The sequence below is a fragment of the Homo sapiens genome, chromosome 12, assembly GCF_000001405.40.
Source record: "Homo sapiens chromosome 12, GRCh38.p14 Primary Assembly".
NCBI classification, from domain to species: Eukaryota; Metazoa; Chordata; class Mammalia; order Primates; family Hominidae; genus Homo; species Homo sapiens.
The window spans coordinates 18,695,372-18,714,362 of record NC_000012.12 but is presented as its reverse complement, the minus strand read 5'-3'; the positions used below and the strand labels follow the sequence as shown (position 1 = coordinate 18,714,362).

At 35.7% G+C, this 18,991-nt stretch overlaps 2 protein-coding genes across 20 annotated transcripts in view; one reads left to right on the top strand and one right to left on the bottom strand.

Moving 5' to 3' along the window:
- PIK3C2G (phosphatidylinositol-4-phosphate 3-kinase catalytic subunit type 2 gamma) overlaps positions 1-18,991 on the bottom strand; it is a 483,857-nt gene that overhangs the window by 12,455 nt on the left and 452,411 nt on the right. The window lies entirely within an intron of this gene.
- Positions 1-18,991, top strand: part of PLCZ1 (phospholipase C zeta 1) — a 92,404-nt gene that overhangs the window by 23,650 nt on the left and 49,763 nt on the right. For 5 of the 15 annotated variants that reach the window (XR_001748912.2, XM_017020176.2, XM_017020182.2 and 2 more), the window contains 5 exons: positions 1,377-1,521; positions 9,048-9,197; positions 12,587-12,862; positions 14,413-14,569; positions 18,097-18,213. Coding sequence is in view for 14 of the 15 variants with exons in the window: in XM_017020176.2 (XP_016875665.1) it covers positions 1,377-1,521; positions 9,048-9,197; positions 12,587-12,862; positions 14,413-14,569; positions 18,097-18,213 (845 nt within the window). In the remaining variant the exon portion in view is untranslated. Of the gene's footprint in view, positions 1-537; positions 627-1,376; positions 1,522-9,047; positions 9,198-12,586; positions 12,863-14,412; positions 14,570-18,096; positions 18,214-18,991 lie in introns of all 15 variants that reach the window. The other 10 variants (XM_017020177.2, NM_033123.4, NM_001330774.2 and 7 more) reach the window with 6 other exon arrangements.

The window sequence follows — 18,991 nt, the reverse complement described above, 5'->3', positions numbered from 1 at the left end:
TGTTGTAGAAACAGCACTAACCATTGCCTTATGTTAGTGTTGCTGACCCTGTCTGTGGTTGGCACATATTAGCTCCATGTCAGGCCAGGTTCATAGGTAATAGGAACAACTATGCAACTCTTTGTATGTGTCTGTGAAATAATTTAAAGAATTATCTTAACGCTATAACTATATTTGCATGAATCAAGAAAACAATATCTATACATAAATCAATAAATTTGAGTGAACTCTTGGTAGTTTGGGGCAAATGACCTATTTCATGATGGCATACAATGGCCTACTCTGGGCTGGGTATGAAGATTTTGAGACATCCCTATTTGCTTTTATTCATTATTATAAAGTCAGTGAAAAATCTGAATGCAATCAGCTTCCACTGACACAGAGTAAATAAAAGCATATGTGCTAATAAAGCATCCTGTCACTGCTCTCTTGTAGTATGAACACTGAAAATTAATTTAAACACAGTGGGTACAACTGATTTAATGAACCTAAGATAGAATTTATGTTTAAATCAAGAAACCAATATTTATTTTTTAGGTAGAAAAATCAGGCCCAGTTTTAGATATCAGCAGAAGCAGAAATATAGTTTCCTCAGTTTTGATAAAGCTGTGAACTTGTATTCTGAGGTAAGCAGGTCATACGTTTCTCCTAGTGAAATTATGAGTCGAATAGACAGAGATGAGCAGGTGTCCAGGCTTCCTTTGCATAAACCTTGATTTTCTCTAGTGCTTACTTGGATTAAAATTAGAGATGGCCTTATGTTAAATGGTTAGAGAGATAAGGATTATTTGCTGATTCACCAGGCCCTCTAGCTTCCATACTGTGTAGCCAACACTGTTTCCAGAGAGCAAGTATTGTCATGCTTTATCTTTTCTTTATCCTTGCCTTTCTGCCATATACCCCATTCCCCAAAGCCTGACATGAGGAAAGAATTAGATAAGATTTTATTAATATATTTTACTATTCTGAGAGGGCTTTGAACATTATCACTTTTGAATGGTATGGCATTGAACAGTAAATGCCACCATAAGTAAAATTATATGGGTTGGGAGTAGGGATGTTTCAGAGCTACAACTATGGAGCAGGTATCCTCATTGCTTACTGAAAACCAAGCCTTGTATGGAGAGCACGGAAGAGTAAAACATTTGACTAGCGAGAAAGACACAGTATTGTACTACACAGATAGTATGTGTCTTCCCTTTTAATGCAAATTTCTAGAGACTCAAAACTTGTCCCAAAGACAAGTTTTTATAGAGTTTTATGGACTCATTTATGCATTTATTATAAAATCAAATGGTCTTTGGAATATTTTAATACTTTGGTATATATTTTTAATGGTCCAGGAGTAACATTTTATTTTGCTGAAATTTTGCTAGTGCCCTTGTGAAAGGATGCCGTTGTTTGGAGATTGACTGCTGGGATGGAGCACAAAATGAACCTGTTGTATATCATGGCTACACACTCACAAGCAAACTTCTGTTTAAAACTGTTATCCAAGCTATACACAAGTATGCATTCATGGTATGTACATATCTTTGTTCAACTGTAGCTATTTAAACAGAAGCAATTCTAATTTACTTGCTTCAAAATCCTATAATGCTTAGCCTTACTTTAGATGATATTTCAAATTGTGGGTTATGATCCATTAGTAGGCAGTGAAATCCATGTTGTATATAGTTAAAGGTAGATTTATCAAAGTTAGTTTCAGGTGGTAAGGTACATAGTGTTTCATGGAACTTTTTGTTTACTCGTGTGTGTGTGTATTGTTTCACAAGGTAAAATATATTTATTATTGTGGATGATGGCCAGGAAAGTTTGAGAAATACTGGTCTAGGTAATAGTAGATATTTTACCAATATTCAACTCTTTTACTTTCAAGACAAAATAAAATGTATCAACAATGCATCATTTCAATTGCTGACATTTTAATGACTATAATGACAGCTATTGATATAGTAAGAAATGTTCAGAAGTTTACTTTGGATTCAAAAATGTTTAATTTATTACAGATTCAACGATATAGTTATTCCTAGAATTTGAGCTCAGTTTATGAATCCTACTCTATAAATTGAGCAGGTTTTTGCAATCCCTCAATGTTAAGGAGTTCTAAATAACACTGGTTTCATTTATAAACGTGGCTAATTTTGTACCTTCAGACATTGTGTTGTTTTTGTAAACTTAACACACTTGATTTCTTAAGTACTTCAATTATAGTACAATTTTAGTACAATCAAAATGACTAAAAGAATTCTTACTACGTACTAAAACTGTGTAATGTGTACCTAATACATTAAATTTACAAATGTAATAAAGTTCTCCTATGTCAATACATTACATAATCTGTCAACATAAACTTAAAATCACAAATTTATATAAATTTATCTACTATATATTAAAATGGAGTACAAAATAAATATTTCAAAGATACAAATATCATATATGAACAATTTCTATCTTAATATAAAAACATTGAGAGTATGGCACTGATTCTCCTAAACATGTAGTTTCTATTATTTCTAAATTTATTTATTTCTACTCCAGTCTCTTTCTTGAACTCACACCAAAGTACACAACTGCCTGTTTGACATTACCACTTGGATATGAATAGGCATATTTAACTTAACATGTTTAAAATTGAGCTCCCTGATATTTCTCTAGTCCTGCTCTCGCCACGATCTTCCCCATCTCATCAATGACAACTTTCATGTGCTCTAGCCAAGACCTTTTTTGCCAACTGTAACCTACTTCTCCTTCTCTCAGTCCCCTCAGTCAATTCTTCAGTAAATCATCTTGGCTTTACTTTTATTATTATTATTATTATTATTATTATTATACTTTAAGTTTTAGGGTACATGTGCACAATGTGCAGGTTTGTTACATATGGATACATGTGCCATGTTGGTGTGCTGCACCCACTAACTCGTCATTTAGCATTAGGTATATCTCCTAATGCTATCCCTCCCCCCTCCCCCCACCCCACAACAGTCCCCAGAGTGTGATGTTCCCCTTCCTGTGTCCATGTGTTCTCATTGTTCAATTCCCACCTATGAGTGAGAACATGCGGTGTTTGGTTTTTTGTCCTTGCGATAGTTTGCTGAGAATGATGGTTTCCAGTTTCATCCATGTCTCTACAAAGGACATGAACTCTTCATTTTTTATGGTTGCATAGTATTCCATGGTGTATATGTTCCCCATTTTCTTAATCCAGTCTATCGTTGTTGGATATTTAGGTTGGTTCCAATTCTTTGCTATTGTGAATAGTGCCGCAATAAACATATATGTGCATATGTCTTTATAGCAGCATGATTTATAGTCCTTTGGGTATATACCTAGTAATGGGATGGCTGGGTCAAATGGTATTTCTAGTTCTAGATCCCTGAGGAATCGCCACACTGACTTCCACAATGGTTGAACTAGTTTACAGTCCAACCAACAGTGTAAAAGTGTTCCTATTTCTCCACATCCTCTCCAGCACCTGTTGTTTCCTGACTTTTTAATGATCGCCATTCTAACTGGTGTGAGATTGCATCTCATTGTGGTTTTGATTTGCATTTCTCTGACGGCCAGTGATGATGAGCATTTTTTCATGTGTTTTTTGGCTGCATAAATGTCTTCTTTTGAGCAGTGGCTTTACTTTTAAAATGTATCCTGAATTTAACTATCTCTGCCCATTTTTACTGTCACTGTCGTAGTCAACCAACATCACCTCTCATTTAAATGATCCCACTGCCCTCTTCTCTGATATTCTTGCTTCTTTTCTTATTCCCCTGCAATCTCATCTCAACATATCAACCAGAGTGATTTTTGGTAACTCAGACTATGTCATTCCCCTTCTCAAAGCCTTCGGCCTCACTCAAAATAAAAGCTGAAATTTGTACAATGACTCACAAGGCCATAAGTGGTCAGTTTTTCATTACCTATTTTAACTCTCCTGCTACTCCATCCCTGTTCACTTGGCCATTCTGGCCTCCTTAGTCCTTTTCAGACATATCTCAAGGCCTTTGTACTTGCTATTCCCCCTTTATATGAAATACTCTTCCCAAATATTTGCATGGCTAACTCCCTCACCTAATTCAGAGTGGAAAAATGAATTAAAAAAAATAGTGACAGTCTTAAAATTCAAAGGCCTTGCAAGGATGAAAAGCCTACAGCTTCTAAGATTCCAAAAAGCAAGAAATGGGCAACTAGATAAGAAAAAGAGACAAAATGCAATGCTTTCTATTATTTCCAATAGGAAGAAAAGAAGCAACATTATGTTTATTTGCAGATGACATAATCCTGTATGTAAAAAAGCCCAACGATTCCACACAAAAAACCCTGTTAGAACTCATAAATGAATTCAGTAAAGTTGCAGAACACAAAATCGACATATTTAAATCAGTAGTATTTTTATACGCAAATAGTGACCTAATTGAAAGAAATTAAGAAAAAATCTCATTTACAATAGTATAAAAATGACATATCTAGGAATAAATTTAACCAAGGAAGTGAAAGATCTGTATACTGAAAACTATAAAACATGGATGAAAGAAATTGGAGACACAAATACGTGAAAAGATATCCTATACTCCTGAATCAGAAGATATAAAATAATATTGTTAAAATGTTCATGCTGTCTAAAGCAATACACAGGGTTTTTTTTCCCTTGGGGTGTGGTATTGTTATGTTGTCGAGGCTGGTGTCAAAGTCCCAGCCTCAGAAGATCCTCTCATCTTGGCCTTCCAAAGTGCTGGGATTACAGGTGTGAACAACTATACTAGGCTACAGTGTACAGATTTAATGCAATTCTTATCAAAATTCCAATGGCATTATTCATAGAAATAAAAAAAAAGTCCTAAAATTTGTAAAGAAGGATAAAAGACTTCAAATAGCCAAAATAATTCTGAGAAATGAAAACAAAGTTGGAGGCATCACACTTTCTGATTTAAAATTATGTTACAAAGCTATAGTAATCAATACAGCATGGTCCTGTGCAGAAAAACAGACATATAGACCAGTGGAACAGAATAGAGAGCCTAGAGATCAACCTAAGCATATATGGTCAACCTAATTTTTGTCAAGGAGACCAAGAAGACAAAATGGTAAAGGATAATGTCTTCAATAAATGGTACTGAAAAAACTGAATTTCGACATGCTAAAGAACGAAATTAGACCCTTATCTTATACCATACACAACAAATCATGTTAAAATGGATAAAAAACTTACATATAATATTAGAAACTATGAAAACCCTAAAAGGGAACATAGGAGAAAAGCTCCTAGACACTGACTTTGGCAATTATTATTTTGATATTACATCAAAAGCTCAGATCACAAAAGCAAAAATAAATAACTGGGACTACATCAAACTAATAAGCTTTTGCACAGCAAAGGAAACAATCAACCAACAAAATCAAAGGGCAGCCTATGAATTGGGGAAAAAATATTTGCAAACCATGTATCTGATAAGGGAGTAATATCCAAAATTTATGAAGAATTCATACAACTCATTAGTGGAAAAAAAACTTGATTAAAAAATGAACAAAAAACCTGAATAGGCATTTCTCCAAAGAAGACATAAAAATGGCCAACAAGTATATGAAAAGGTACTCAACATTATTAGTCACCAGGGAAATGCAAATCAAAACCACTATGAGATACCACCTCACAGTCTTACCATGTTAGAAGGTCTCATCAAAAAGTCAAATGATAACAAATGTTGGCGAGGGCGTGGCAAAAAGGGAACCCTGTACACTGATGATGGAAATGTAGATTGGTACCACCAATGGGAATACAGCATGGAGGTTTCTAAAGAAATAAAAAATAGAGCCACCATATGACCCAGTAATCCCTCTTCTGGGTACATACCCAAAGGGAATTAAATAACCATCTCATAAAGTTTTTGTGCTGCAGTGTTCACTGTAGAATTGTTCACAATAGACATGATATGGAAACAACCTAGTGTTCATTGACAGACAAATGAATAAAGAAAATGGATATATGCAATGGAATATGATTCAGTCTTTACAAAGAATGAGATCTTTCCATTTACCACAGCATGAGTGAGGACATTATGTTAAGTGAAATAAGCCAGACACAGAAAGAAATAATGCCTGATCTCACTTTTATGTGGAATTTAGAAAAAAAACTCTCAAATGTACAGAGATAGATAACCAAACAGTGGTTGACAGGAACGAGGTGTGGGGAGGGAGAAGAAAATGGAGAAAGGTAGGTCAGAGGCTACAAAGTAGCACATATGTAGGATGAAAAAGTCTAGACATCTAATGTATCATATGAGGATTATAGGTAATAAAGTTATACTGTATATGGTATTCATGCTGAATGAATAGATTTTAGCTGCTCTTGCTACAAAAATTTTAAAAAGGGTAACTGTGAAATGATGGATAGATGGATATGTTAATTTGATTCACTGTAATAACCTTCTTACTATCTACGTGTGTTCCATAACATCATGTTGTATACCTTAAGTATACACAATAAAATGCATTTAAAAACACCCAAAAGAGCAAGAAGTGAGATTTTAAACAAGGCTTTGAGCAGTGGAGACTCAATGAGACTTCCCAGCTGAACAAGGTGACTCAGTTTTGCAGCATAGATAAGATTAAAGTTTAGACTTCCTACTCAAGGTAGTCACTATTTGGAAAAAGAGGACATGAAATTACATAGACAATAATTATGACTAGGGAAGTCATAACTTGGTCTAGTTGCATGAGTTTACTAGAATAAATACATAAGAAATCTAAGTTTTAAGGGACTTATACTGCCAAAAACCCTCATAAGTATGACTCTTAGGTGAGCCTTAAAACAGCCTTTGGTAAGGAAATGGGGGGCAAACATTGCTTGGCTTTCAAGAGAGCAAACTCCTCAACATCCACTTTCAATGTGGCCAGGGAAGATAAAAGAAAGAGGATCTTCCCACAAGATGGAGCCAAGAAGAAAGAGAAATGATGTCAGTGACATCAGGGCCTCATGGAAGAATCCACCTTTTAGGCCATCACTTTGCCCAGTCTCAGAATTACTTATTATATTTGGAAAAAACTTTACCTATTCTTTTGGGATCAGAGTGAGTCAGTGGACTCACTCTAATTCAGAAGATCATTGTGTAGGTCAAATAAGGGCTTCCAAAAATATTAAGTTTTAATTCCTGGAACTTGTAAATGTTGTTTTATTTGGAAAAAGTGTCTTTGTAGATGTAATTAAGTTAAAGACCTCTAGATGGGGAGATTATTCTGGATTATCTGAGTAGGCGCTGAACACCATCATAAGGACTTTTATAAGAAGGAAGTAGAGAGAGATTTGATACACCAGAGGAGGAGGCAGTGGGAAGACAGGGACAGAGATTAGAGAGATGTGGCCACAAGCCAAGGAATGTGGGCAGCCACCCAAACCTGGAAGAGGCAAGGAGGATTCTTCTTCAGTGCCTTCCAAGGGAGTGCAGCCTTACCAACACCTTGATTTGAGACCAGTGAAACTGATTTCAAACTTCTGGTGACTAGACAGTGAGAGAATAAATGTTGTTGTTGTAAGCCACCAAGGTTTGTAGTAATTTTTGTCACAGCAGCCACAGAGCAATACACTCATACATTAAAAAGACATAGTAATAATCGACCCTGTTCTGAGTGCTGTGAAAATGCAGTAAGACTTGTGATTCCCTGGCTTGTTTACAAATTGGTAAATTTGTGCCCTGATAAGTATATATGAAATCAAAACAAAGAAAAAAATTGTAAATAAGATCCAGTGATGTTTTGTTCCCTATTTAATGGCAAGTTTTGAAGTTACAGCAATGAGAAAGGGCAGAAAATACCTTTGTAGAGCCACCTTCACTTAATAAAACTCCTTTGCTATTAGAAACTGGAAATATCTTTATCTTTGTTTCTAATTCTAAAACAATGAGTTTTGATTTCAGAACTTAAAACTGAAAAAGCAGAATATTGACATTTCCCCCAACTCATCAGTGTTAATAATGTTTTTGTTTCACTTTTTAAAATCTCTAAATATTTGTATATTAACAATAAAAATATAGCATGCTACTTTTTGGTAACTTGCTTTTCTTCATAAACCCGTAGATAACTTTCTATAGCAGTATAGATAGCTCTGTCTTCTTCTTTTTTTTTTTTTATTTTTATTTTTGAGACAGAGTCTCATTCCGTCACCCAGGCTGGAGTGCAATGGTGCAATCTCGGCTCACTGCAACCTCCACCTCCCGGTTCAAGCAATTCTCCTGCCTCAGCCTCCCAGGTAACTGGGATTACAGGCACCTGCCACCACGCCTAGCTAATTTTCTTTTTTGCATTTTTAGTAGAGATGGGGTTTCGCCATGTTGGCCAGCCTGGTCTCGAACTCCTGACCCCAGGTGATCCACCCGCCTCGGCCTCCCAAAGTGCTGGGATTACAGGTGTGAGCCACCATGCTCGTCCTGCCTTCTTCTTAATTGGTCTATATCATTCCTTTATATGGATATGGTATAATTTATTTATTATTATTATTGTTATTTTTGAGATGGAGTCTTGCTCTGTCACCCAGGCTGGAATGCAATGGCGCAACCTCGGCTCGTTGTAATCTCTGCCTCCCGGGTTCAAGTGATTCTCCTGCCTTAGTGTCCTGAGTAGCTGGGATTACAGGCACACACTACCACACCTGGCTAATTTTTGTGATTTTAGTAGAGATGGGGTTTCACTATGCTGGACAAGCTGGCCTCGAACTCCTGACCTCAGGTGATCCGCCCGCCTCAGCCTCCCAAAGTGCTGGGATTACAGTTGTGAGCCACTGAGCCTGGCCAGTATAATTTATTTAAATAAGTACTCACTGATGGATGCTTCAGTTGTTCCTATTCTTTTGGTGCAAATAGTAATACATTTCTTTTTATGCAGATTTAATGGTCTCTGTTTTGCCAAACTCAAAAGTACTTTCAGTTTAAAGAATAGTTATTTTGCAAAGGTACTAAACGTTAGAAGTAAGTTTTAAAATACATTAAGCACTTATATTAATTGCCTTACAATTATTTAGAAGTTTTGATGAATAACCATAGTAATGGTTACTTTTTTAGACATCTGACTACCCAGTGGTGCTCTCTTTAGAAAATCACTGCTCCACTGCCCAACAAGAAGTAATGGCAGACAATTTGCAGGCTACTTTTGGAGAGTCCTTGCTTTCTGATATGCTTGATGATTTTCCTGATACTCTACCATCACCAGAGGTAACATTTTTTTCTGAGAAACTCAGGTTAAGAAAAAAGTCCATGAAAACATGTCACTGTTATATTGGCCTGTGAAACTGGGCTAGAGACCAATGAAAATGCTTAGTTTTGATCACGTATAGAGGTTTATTTTTGCAATGTTGCCTAGGGAATGTTCTCATGAATGCTTAGGTGAATATATTTCGATTAAAATTTATATATATATACATACAACCCACATTTTGATTGTGTCTCCTACCCCATGGGTCCACAATATCAAAGCAATTAGTATTAAGGACCAGAAATTTAGTATGTTTTACAGGCAAAAGTCCTAGAAAGTGGCAAAAGTTCTAGACTATAAATAGTCAGTACCCAATATCTCAACAGCTGGGTAGCAAGTTCCCCTTTAAAAAATCTACTCTTTTCAATTTCCCTGTCTCTATGACCCTTTCCGTCTTAATTTGAGCATACTGAAGTATTTGCTTTGAAAAATCACGTCCACATCTACCATCAGGACTTCACTTCTCTCTCTGGCTGTCTCTTTATTACTCCCTCTCTATGGCCCGGTGCAGTGACTCATGCCTGTAATCCCAGCACCTTGGGAGGCTGAGGAGGGCGGATCCCCTGAGGTTAGGAGTTCACAACCAGCCTTGAGCAACATGGTGAAACCCCGTCTCTACTAAAAATACAAAAATTAGCTGGGTGTCGTGGCATCCACCTGTAATCCCAGCTACTAGGGAGACTGAGGCAGGAGAATCGCTTGAACCCGGGAGGCGGGGGTTACAGTGAGCCAAGATTGAGCTACTGCACTCCAGCCTGGGCAAAAAGAACAAAACTCCTTCATATTGAAAAAAAGAAAGGAATTACTCCCTCTCACGGCCCAAATTTTCATTTTCTTGTCTCCTTGCAACCTGTTCAGTCCCTCTTTCTCTTCTAATTGCTTCACAGGAAAGTTCCCATCACATTCATCAAAGATTTTCTTACTGATAAATTCTAATGAACCTCTTTTAGTCTTCATCTGGTTGTCCTCTCATTAACATTCAATACTGTCGACCTCCACTTCCTTTCCCTGAATTACTTTCTGTTGTAACACCACATTCTTTAGCCTTCCCTCACTCCTCTTTGACCACTCCTGCTTAGTTTCCTTTGCTGGGCCTTTCTCCCTATCCCAAATTTTATCAGATTACAAATAAACTTTCTTTTTGATGAATAGTATTGTCTAACAACAAATAGTTTGGTTTTGACATGTCTTCATTTTTGCTAGACATAACAATATTTTTGTAATATTTGGGTATTGCCCTCTGTATTTTCCTTATTTTTTTTGCCAACTTAAAATAATCAAAAGGCTTGGGATTCAGTTAGAAGAATTTATTCAAGTGCATAGTGTAAGGGTAGCTTTCTGGGACACACAAGACAGCAAAGAATAGTAGTCATTGCTCCTGGTGTGGGAAAAAGTGAAAATTGTTTTATACAGGCAAAAACAGAGGTACAGAACAGAATTACAGTATTTTCCACACAAGGGTTAACATACAGATTTAAGATTTGATTGGCTACGGTTGATTACACTCTAAGGGGTTTGCTTAACATTCTATTGTAAAGAGGTAATCACAAGGTTCTCTATCTCTAAGGTCATTTAGTCAGGGTTTGAATAAAGAATAAGGAGTCTGGTCAATGTATAACATCTCAACACAAAGGTCAGAAAGCAATGGTCATGCACCATCGAAGAAAAACAGCTGTATTACATGACTAAGTTTCCAGGGCTGAACTTTTCTCCCTGACATAATAAATTTGGAAGATCTTCAAATTTTACTTCTTTTAACATTTTATTTAAATCAGTGAAAAATTTTCAAGTGAAAGTGTTGTGACACTAGTGACAAGACATATAGGGCTGATGATAGAACTGAGACAGAAAAAAATGAACTGTGTGATAAATGGAAAGACCACGGTTCTTTTGTGGCATAAGAATGCCCACAGACTCAATGTGTTCAATTGTGGTGGAAAGAAATAGTAAAGAATTTCGAAACATATCATCAAAGATTAAACCCAAATCATAGTCCAATTCTGGAACTTATAATTTTCAGCTTTCTTGGAAGAGAATCCCGCTTCCTATTATATATGAATCTATTTTTCTAGCATTCCCGTACATAGCTTTCATTCAAATTTTAGCTCCATATTAAAGCAGGGAGGTGCTTTTCAATGAGTAAATAAAGAATTAAAGTTACCCTGTAATCCCAGCTACTTGGGAGGCTGAGGCAGGAGAATCTCTTGAACCCAGGAGGCGGAGGTTGCAGTGAGCTGAGATCATGTCACTGCACTCCATCCTGGGTGACAGAGTGAGACTCCGTCTCAAAAAAAAAAAAAAAAAAAAGTTACTTTATCCTACAATATTCAGTCCTTGTGTGTAAAAGAATTGCCTAGAGACTTGTTAAAGGAGGCCCAATTCCAGCCCCACAATTCAAGATTCTGATTCCCTTATTTTGAAGTAGATCCTAGGAATTTGTCCCTTTCCCAAGCACTTCTGATAATATTCTTGATACATGGGATTGCAGAGTGCATTTGGTAAACTCTGCAGTGGAGAGTATCATAAGGGTCATTGTGAAAGAGGGAAGACCCAAGATGATGGAATAATTTGAATGGATGCCTGAGGATGACAAAAGAGAAAGGACAATCAAAGCTCCCTGGAGAAAAGAACTTTACTTTATAACCCAGATTTCAGCATTGTATATAACAGAGCCGGTACTTAAATGTACTTGTTAAATTAAAGAAATTATCCTAAGGGCAGGAATAACCAAGTGAAAGAATGGAACCAGAAGCCTTCAAATTTAGAACAAGTGACACTGATGGTAAATTTTGCTATGCTTCTAAGTTTGAAGGACAGAAAATATTAAGTTAATGATGTTTATGTGTAATACAGAAGAAATTTGAAGAGCCTTTATTACGAATCTTTAATTTAGTCTATACTAGATGCCAGACACTTATGATAGACATTTTAATATACCTGATTTCATTTAATACTTTTTAATGTTGGATAAGAAAATGATGAGCTGAAGCGTTTACTACCAGAAGTTGTAACATTTTCATTGCAATATCATGGTAAGTATTTATATATATATACTTTTCACATATTTCAAATTGTTGGAATAGTACCAACTTGGGAAATATAAAAAAAATGGCATATGGTAAGTCTCAATCATAACAGGCTTATTTTTTGGTGAATTACAATCAATAGCATTATATCACTGTATTCATTCCTCTACTGAGATGTGAATAGGGGTATGGGAAAAAATGGAGTTCTTACATATCTTATTACTGTAGGCTAATTGGAAATATAGTGAAACACTTTTCAGTGACTGTTACAATGCAAATTTACTTGTAAATGTGTAATTGTATCTCTCAAATTGTTTCCTTAGGCACTAAAATTCAAAATATTAGTTAAAAATAAGAAAATAGGAACCTTAAAGGAAACCCATGAAAGAAAAGGTTCTGATAAGCGTGGTAAGGTGGAGGAATGGGAAGAAGAAGTGGCAGATGGAGAGGAGGAGGAGGAGGAGGAGGAGGAGGAGGAGGAGGAGGAGGAGGATAAATTCAAAGAATCAGAAGTATTGGAATCTGTTTTAGGAGACAATCAAGACAAGGAAACAGGGGTAAAAAAGTTACCTGGAGTAATGCTTTTCAAGAAAAAGAAGGTGAGGTGGTGTTTTGTGAAAATCTTACAAGTGATTGGAAAGTTTTCTAATTTTATTCTTGGAGATTTTTTTAAAATTCTGGAGAAAAATCATTTTCCTTCTTATAAAAACTCTAGTCTATCATTTACAATTTACTTTGAAAACATCGATGGTGGAAGATGAATTTTTTAAATTGCCTCTTTTCTTATGTTAGCTGCTTAAACATTTTTTTCTCTAGGCTGAGCACGGTGGCTCATGCCTGTAATCCCAGCACTTTGGGAGGCTGAGGTGGGCGGATCACATGAAGTCAGGAGTTTGAGATCAGCCTGGTCAACATGGTGAAACCCCGTCTCTACTAAAAATACAAAAATTAGCCGGGCATGGTGACGCATGCCTGTAGTTCCAACTACTTGTGACGCTGAAGCAGGAGAATTGCTTGAACCTGGGACGCGGATGTTGCAGTGAGCCGAGATCGAGCCATTGCACTCCAACCTGGGCAACAGAATGAGAGATCCTGTTTCAAAAAAAAAAAAAAAATCTCTATAATTGATAAATATTATGCATTCTTATGAAACAGGCTTTGTGCGAAGTGCAAAAGATGCAGAGATACACAACGTAATTTCCCTGGTCCCAAGTAAAGACAAAGACAAGATTCAATATTAATAATACATAATGTTATATGTATATACATTAGCATGATGAAAGAAAGTATATTAGGTTGCATGTGACACAAAACCAATCCAGCTGGTTTAAATAAAATGATAATTAATTAATTGGCCTACATAGATGAAAAGTTCAGTGAAAGGGATTTTAGTTTAAAAAATGACTTGATATAGTGTCTCACATAAAGTCAGCAGAACTTCAATTCTTTCTCCAGCTTTGCTCCCACTTTCTCTGTGTTGGTGCATGGCTATTGCAAGGAGTCAGCTTTATATCATTTCAGCTTCAAATCCAGTGGAATGCCTATCTCTTGGCAGAGCAACTATTTTTTTTTTTTTTTTTTTTTTTTGTACGTTGGCTCTGATCTGGTTATGCGCACATCCCAGAACCAATTACTGTTGCTAGGGGAATGCAAAGCTCTGTTTAGCTGGCCCAATCTGCCTGACTCATACTTGGATTGAGCATGAGCAAGAAATGTTTTCCCAAAACAAAACTTGGGAAATGGCTAAAAAGAAGTGTAAAAGAAATAGATGCCAGGTTGTGAAATGGCAAATGTTCGCTATGTAATAGAAGTCATTTCAATATAAATTTATTAATGACAAAAATTCCTAAAATTATAAAATTCATGGGAATACACTGAGATCTTTAGGAAAAAAATAAATAGTAATAATTGTGGTCCTCAATACTTATTACATTAATCATGATTTTTAAATTTAAGCTAGCTTATCTTAACATTAAATATTTTTTTGTTCCCAAAAATAATCATATTGAGTTAATCAAATGGTGTTTGAGGAGATAATCTTATGAAAAGATGAAAATCATTTGTTTGAAAGTGTATTTTCTTTACTAGAAAAAATTTTTTTTCCCAATGATTAGCATAAAAATGTAAAATTACTGCATTTTATTTTTAGACCAGGAAGCTAAAAATTGCTCTGGCCTTATCTGATCTTGTCATTTATACGAAAGCTGAGAAATTCAAAAGCTTTCAACATTCAAGATTATATCAGCAATTTAATGAAAATAATTCTATTGGGGAGACACAAGCCCGAAAACTTTCAAAATTGCGAGGTAAATTTTTGTGACTCAAATAGATGAAATGTTTAAATGAGTTAGATTCACTGCTAGGGTGTTAAGATTGCTCAATGATATTTATAAAATGTATATTCTCATAAAATTTCAACACATTTAACATAATTTAGAATGGGGTTACATACCTCAGGTCTCATTAAGTTTTATTTCATGGAACTTAGCCATTAATTAACTTTCCTAAGCCATGACATTTTGATTGAGAATGTCCGATGTGGCCACATTTGTTGAGGGCTGGGGGGCTGTGGTGAGCAGCTTGTATAGGAGAGCAGTGACAGGGCTGCAGAGGGAGGCAGAGCCGAATTAGAAGGCTTGAACTTTGTCCTGGAAGCGAAGGTGCGCAGGAGAAGATTGAACTCTCAGGAGTGGCATGATCCACTCTATTTCTAAACGATACCTCTGATAGCAGCCAAAGGGTGAGATTGCAGGCAGGAAGGCGGTAATAAAGATTTCTGGCAGTGAGAGTGGAGACAGGATGAACTTTGTGGATTTAATAGGCATTGAAGAGGGTAGGGTTAATCAGACTTGGAGGCTCTATGCCTATGGTGAAGGAAGGGGAAGAAATGGCGCCCAGGCTGGACTACCAGATGGCTGTGCAGAGTGTGCATGCCCCACTGCACACCTGTAGAGGTGCCATCTGTCTCTGCATCTTCCTTTCACTGCCTCTAATTCTAAAACTGAGGTGGTTATTCTGTTTGGCAGTGCCCAAGGTAAAACGGGGCCTGAGAAAGAGAATAGAAAGAAGACTCATTATGTGGGGAATGTCCCAAACTTAAAAGGGAATGAGCAACTAACTTAAGAGCCAGGTGACTCTGCTAATCCTCAAAAAATGGCAGTTTTTTTTAGTAGCAGGGGTATGGGGGAAGTAAGGACAATAATGGATACAAAACTATAGTTAGAATGAATAAGACATAGTATTTGATAGTGCAACAGGTGACTACAGTCAACAATAGTTTATTGTACATTTAAAAATAACTAAAAGAGTATAATTGGATTGTTTGTTACACAAAGGATAAATGCTTGGGGTGATGGATACACCACTTATCCTGATGTGTTACTAGACATTGTATATCTTTGTCAAAATATCTCGTGTACTCCATAAATATATTTATCTATGTACCCACAAAAATTAAAAGTTAAAAAAATGCAATCTACCATCTTGTGTAGAAATACCACAGAAGGAAAATCAGCACCTGCAATTGACTTGAGAAAAGCTGCTGGCTGTTTGGGAATGCGGATTCTGAAAGCTTTAATGATTAACCTTATTGGGCTGGTCATAGATACCCAAAGATTTTGAAGTATACTTTAGTTCATATTCTCTAACTATCTATTAGAGAGATCCTGGATTTTTTAAAGGCTCTTTTCCTTTTTTAACCTGTGTGTTGTAACCAAAAATCAATTCAGTAGGTCTGGACTACAGTTAAATAATAGAATAGAATAGAGTAGTATAGAGTAGAATGGAATGGGATGGAATGGAATGGAATGGAGTAGAATAGAATAGAATAGAATAGAATAGAATAGAATAGAATAGAAGAAAAGTGTATTGCAAGCAGTAATAATAAATATGGTTTTATGAAGCAATTGTGCATCGTGCATGTGAGTTGGATTGTAAAATGTATTTCTTGCTGTAAGGTGTGGTTAAGAGAGTTTGAATGACATGCTTTACTGGTCTCTGTTCCTTCATGTTGTTCATGAGGACAGGTCCTCATGTTGTTCATGAGGACAGGACCTGTAGGCACAGCATAAATTAATTATAATTGTATTACTCTCATCATATTAAATACTTGCAAAAATTTTGGAAAGGAATTAGATAGTTCTGAGTAGAGTCAAAGTATAACATTACCATTTCTTTGAAGGGGCATAGAGCATTTTTCTTGCACCAAAAGTTATAGTAAATAATCAATGATGTCTGCAAAGGTTTAACTTCAAGGATGCCAATTATTATTATAAACATAATGAAAATCATTAAAAAATAATGTTGTAGATGAATATTATTGAAATGAAATGATGTTCACATTATTATAGTAAATAAAGATAACGGTTTGTGAAAGGGAACAAACATTATCATTCAACTAAAAATTATACACATACAAAAGAATGGGAAGATATATGTGAAGGAGTTATCAGTGGTTATCAGTTGAATGATGACATATGGTTTGATTTGTTCTTTGATGTCCTCCTATTTTACAGTAAACATGAACTGTATTTGTAATAACAAACATGTTTATTTTCTAAAGGTTAATCTCAGAAATAACAAAATCATATTATGTTATGAGACCTTAGTCATCATTCACATTTATTACTTTGTAAATGAGAAACATTAAGACTCAGAAGAGTATGTGTTTTGCCTAAGGACAGACATCTGTTAGGACTAGATAAGGGAGCATGATACTTGGACACCTATGCTGTATTTATACACACATGGTTTCAAAATAAACTTTCTCTCAAGGAATGTGTAACTTTTGAAAATAAATATTGATAAAATTAACTGTAATTTTTAATTTGACAATGCTTCCTAAATAATAGTATTTAGGATGAAGGGAGAGGTGATTCTATTCTAGTTGGTTTAGCAAATGAAGTGAGCCATAAGCAGTAACCATTCTCCCATGATGAGTCACTATATCAGCAGGAATGGTTGCAGAAACAGGATCTGTTTAATGAAAAAAGAAAATCCTTGGAGAAGCATGAAATTTGTGTTCAAAAATTTGAAGAAGGTGCCAAATGGTAAAGGGTTTAAGTTAGTTTGAATCTCAAGTGACTTAAATATTATATAGACAAGAAGAAACACAAAGAATATGTACAGAAACTAAAATAGACTGTGTGTGTATGTTTGTTCCTGTTTGTGTGTATACTACAAATACGTAGAGATTATCCCAGTAAGAACGACATTTGAAATAATTAAAAGCATTGAAAGTTTTTCAATGGAGACATGTAAACACAGATTGAATAAACTTTGGGGGAAGATGCTGGAGTGAAGGGATTGGAAGTCGAACTGGACAACTTTGGGGTGCCTTTCAACCCTGAGAACCTGTGAAATGTTCAGTAGGATTAATTTAGCTGGAATCGTATAGCTTTGTGTGACTTCCATATGATTCTGCCCTACTGTGAAAATCAAAGTGGAAAAATAATAAGGGAAAATGCTGCTTTTGTTTTGAAAAATGAATGGATTATATTTTGGAGTTTTATGTATTCTTACAACAAAGTGAAATAATTTGGGTGTAAAAAATATATAAATTATCTAATCAATTTTTTCCTTGAATGATCAGTGTACATACATTTTATGATAAAATTGTCACTAACATCTAAATAATAGTGAATTATACTATAAACATAAAGGCATGGATTTATTTTGATATTCATGAATTGCAAATTTTTGCCAAGACAATACATATCAAAATTGTTGAAACTATTATAGAATTATATGATATATATATATATATATATATATATATAGTGGCTTTTTAAATTTATTTGAATTCTTTCACAATGTTTTAATTATTCTTTTTCAGTCCATGAGTTTATTTTTCACACCAGGAAGTTCATTACCAGAATATATCCCAAAGCAACAAGAGCAGACTCTTCTAATTTTAATCCCCAAGAATTTTGGAATATAGGTTGTCAAATGGGTATGTTATATACGATATTGAGTTGTTTGCAGAAGTAACATAAAATGAATTCATTTTATGAATGTATGAAAAACTCGTGAAAAGGGCTTTCTGTAAAAGATTTTTTAGCCCGGGGGCTTTGGGGTCAGGCACTAATGGTGGGTCATGTGTTGTAAGAGTTGAAGTCATTCCTATCTGGGTTGAAGCGGGGTAAATCTCAGTGATGGTTTGGGGAATGGTGGTTAAATTCACGAGGAGTTAATATGAGACATGTGTAGTGGAGGAAGGGAACAAGGAAACCCAAATGGACATTGAAGATCAAATTCCTTTGCTTGAGGTATGCTCAAGGCCTCTTCAAATCAAGTGACCTCTATCATTTATACTTTACATGAGCTTCTACATTCATAGTTTTGAAAAGTGAATAAGATTGCCTAACTTGGTTATTTGCCCTCACCAGACTCTTATTCCAAATTGAACAGCTAGTACAGCACTGCACTAACCCATCAGAAAGTACCAGGTGTTACCCTTCTACTGGATTGTGGCAAGGCCTGTAGGTGTGAGGAGGGGGGATATTGGGGCTGGGTGGAGGGTGGAGTGTGGTACTCTCTACAGTGGCTATTTACCAGGCTATACTGAGGTACTTCCATATTGTAACGACAATTATTGCTTTGCCTGTTTCTCACTTTCTCCTCAAGTGACAACAGCATCTCATGGACTTGAAAATTTATGACATAGTTGATGTCTTTACCTCTTGCATTCAATGCACTGATACTCTTTATTCTGACATTTCTTAAGTGTT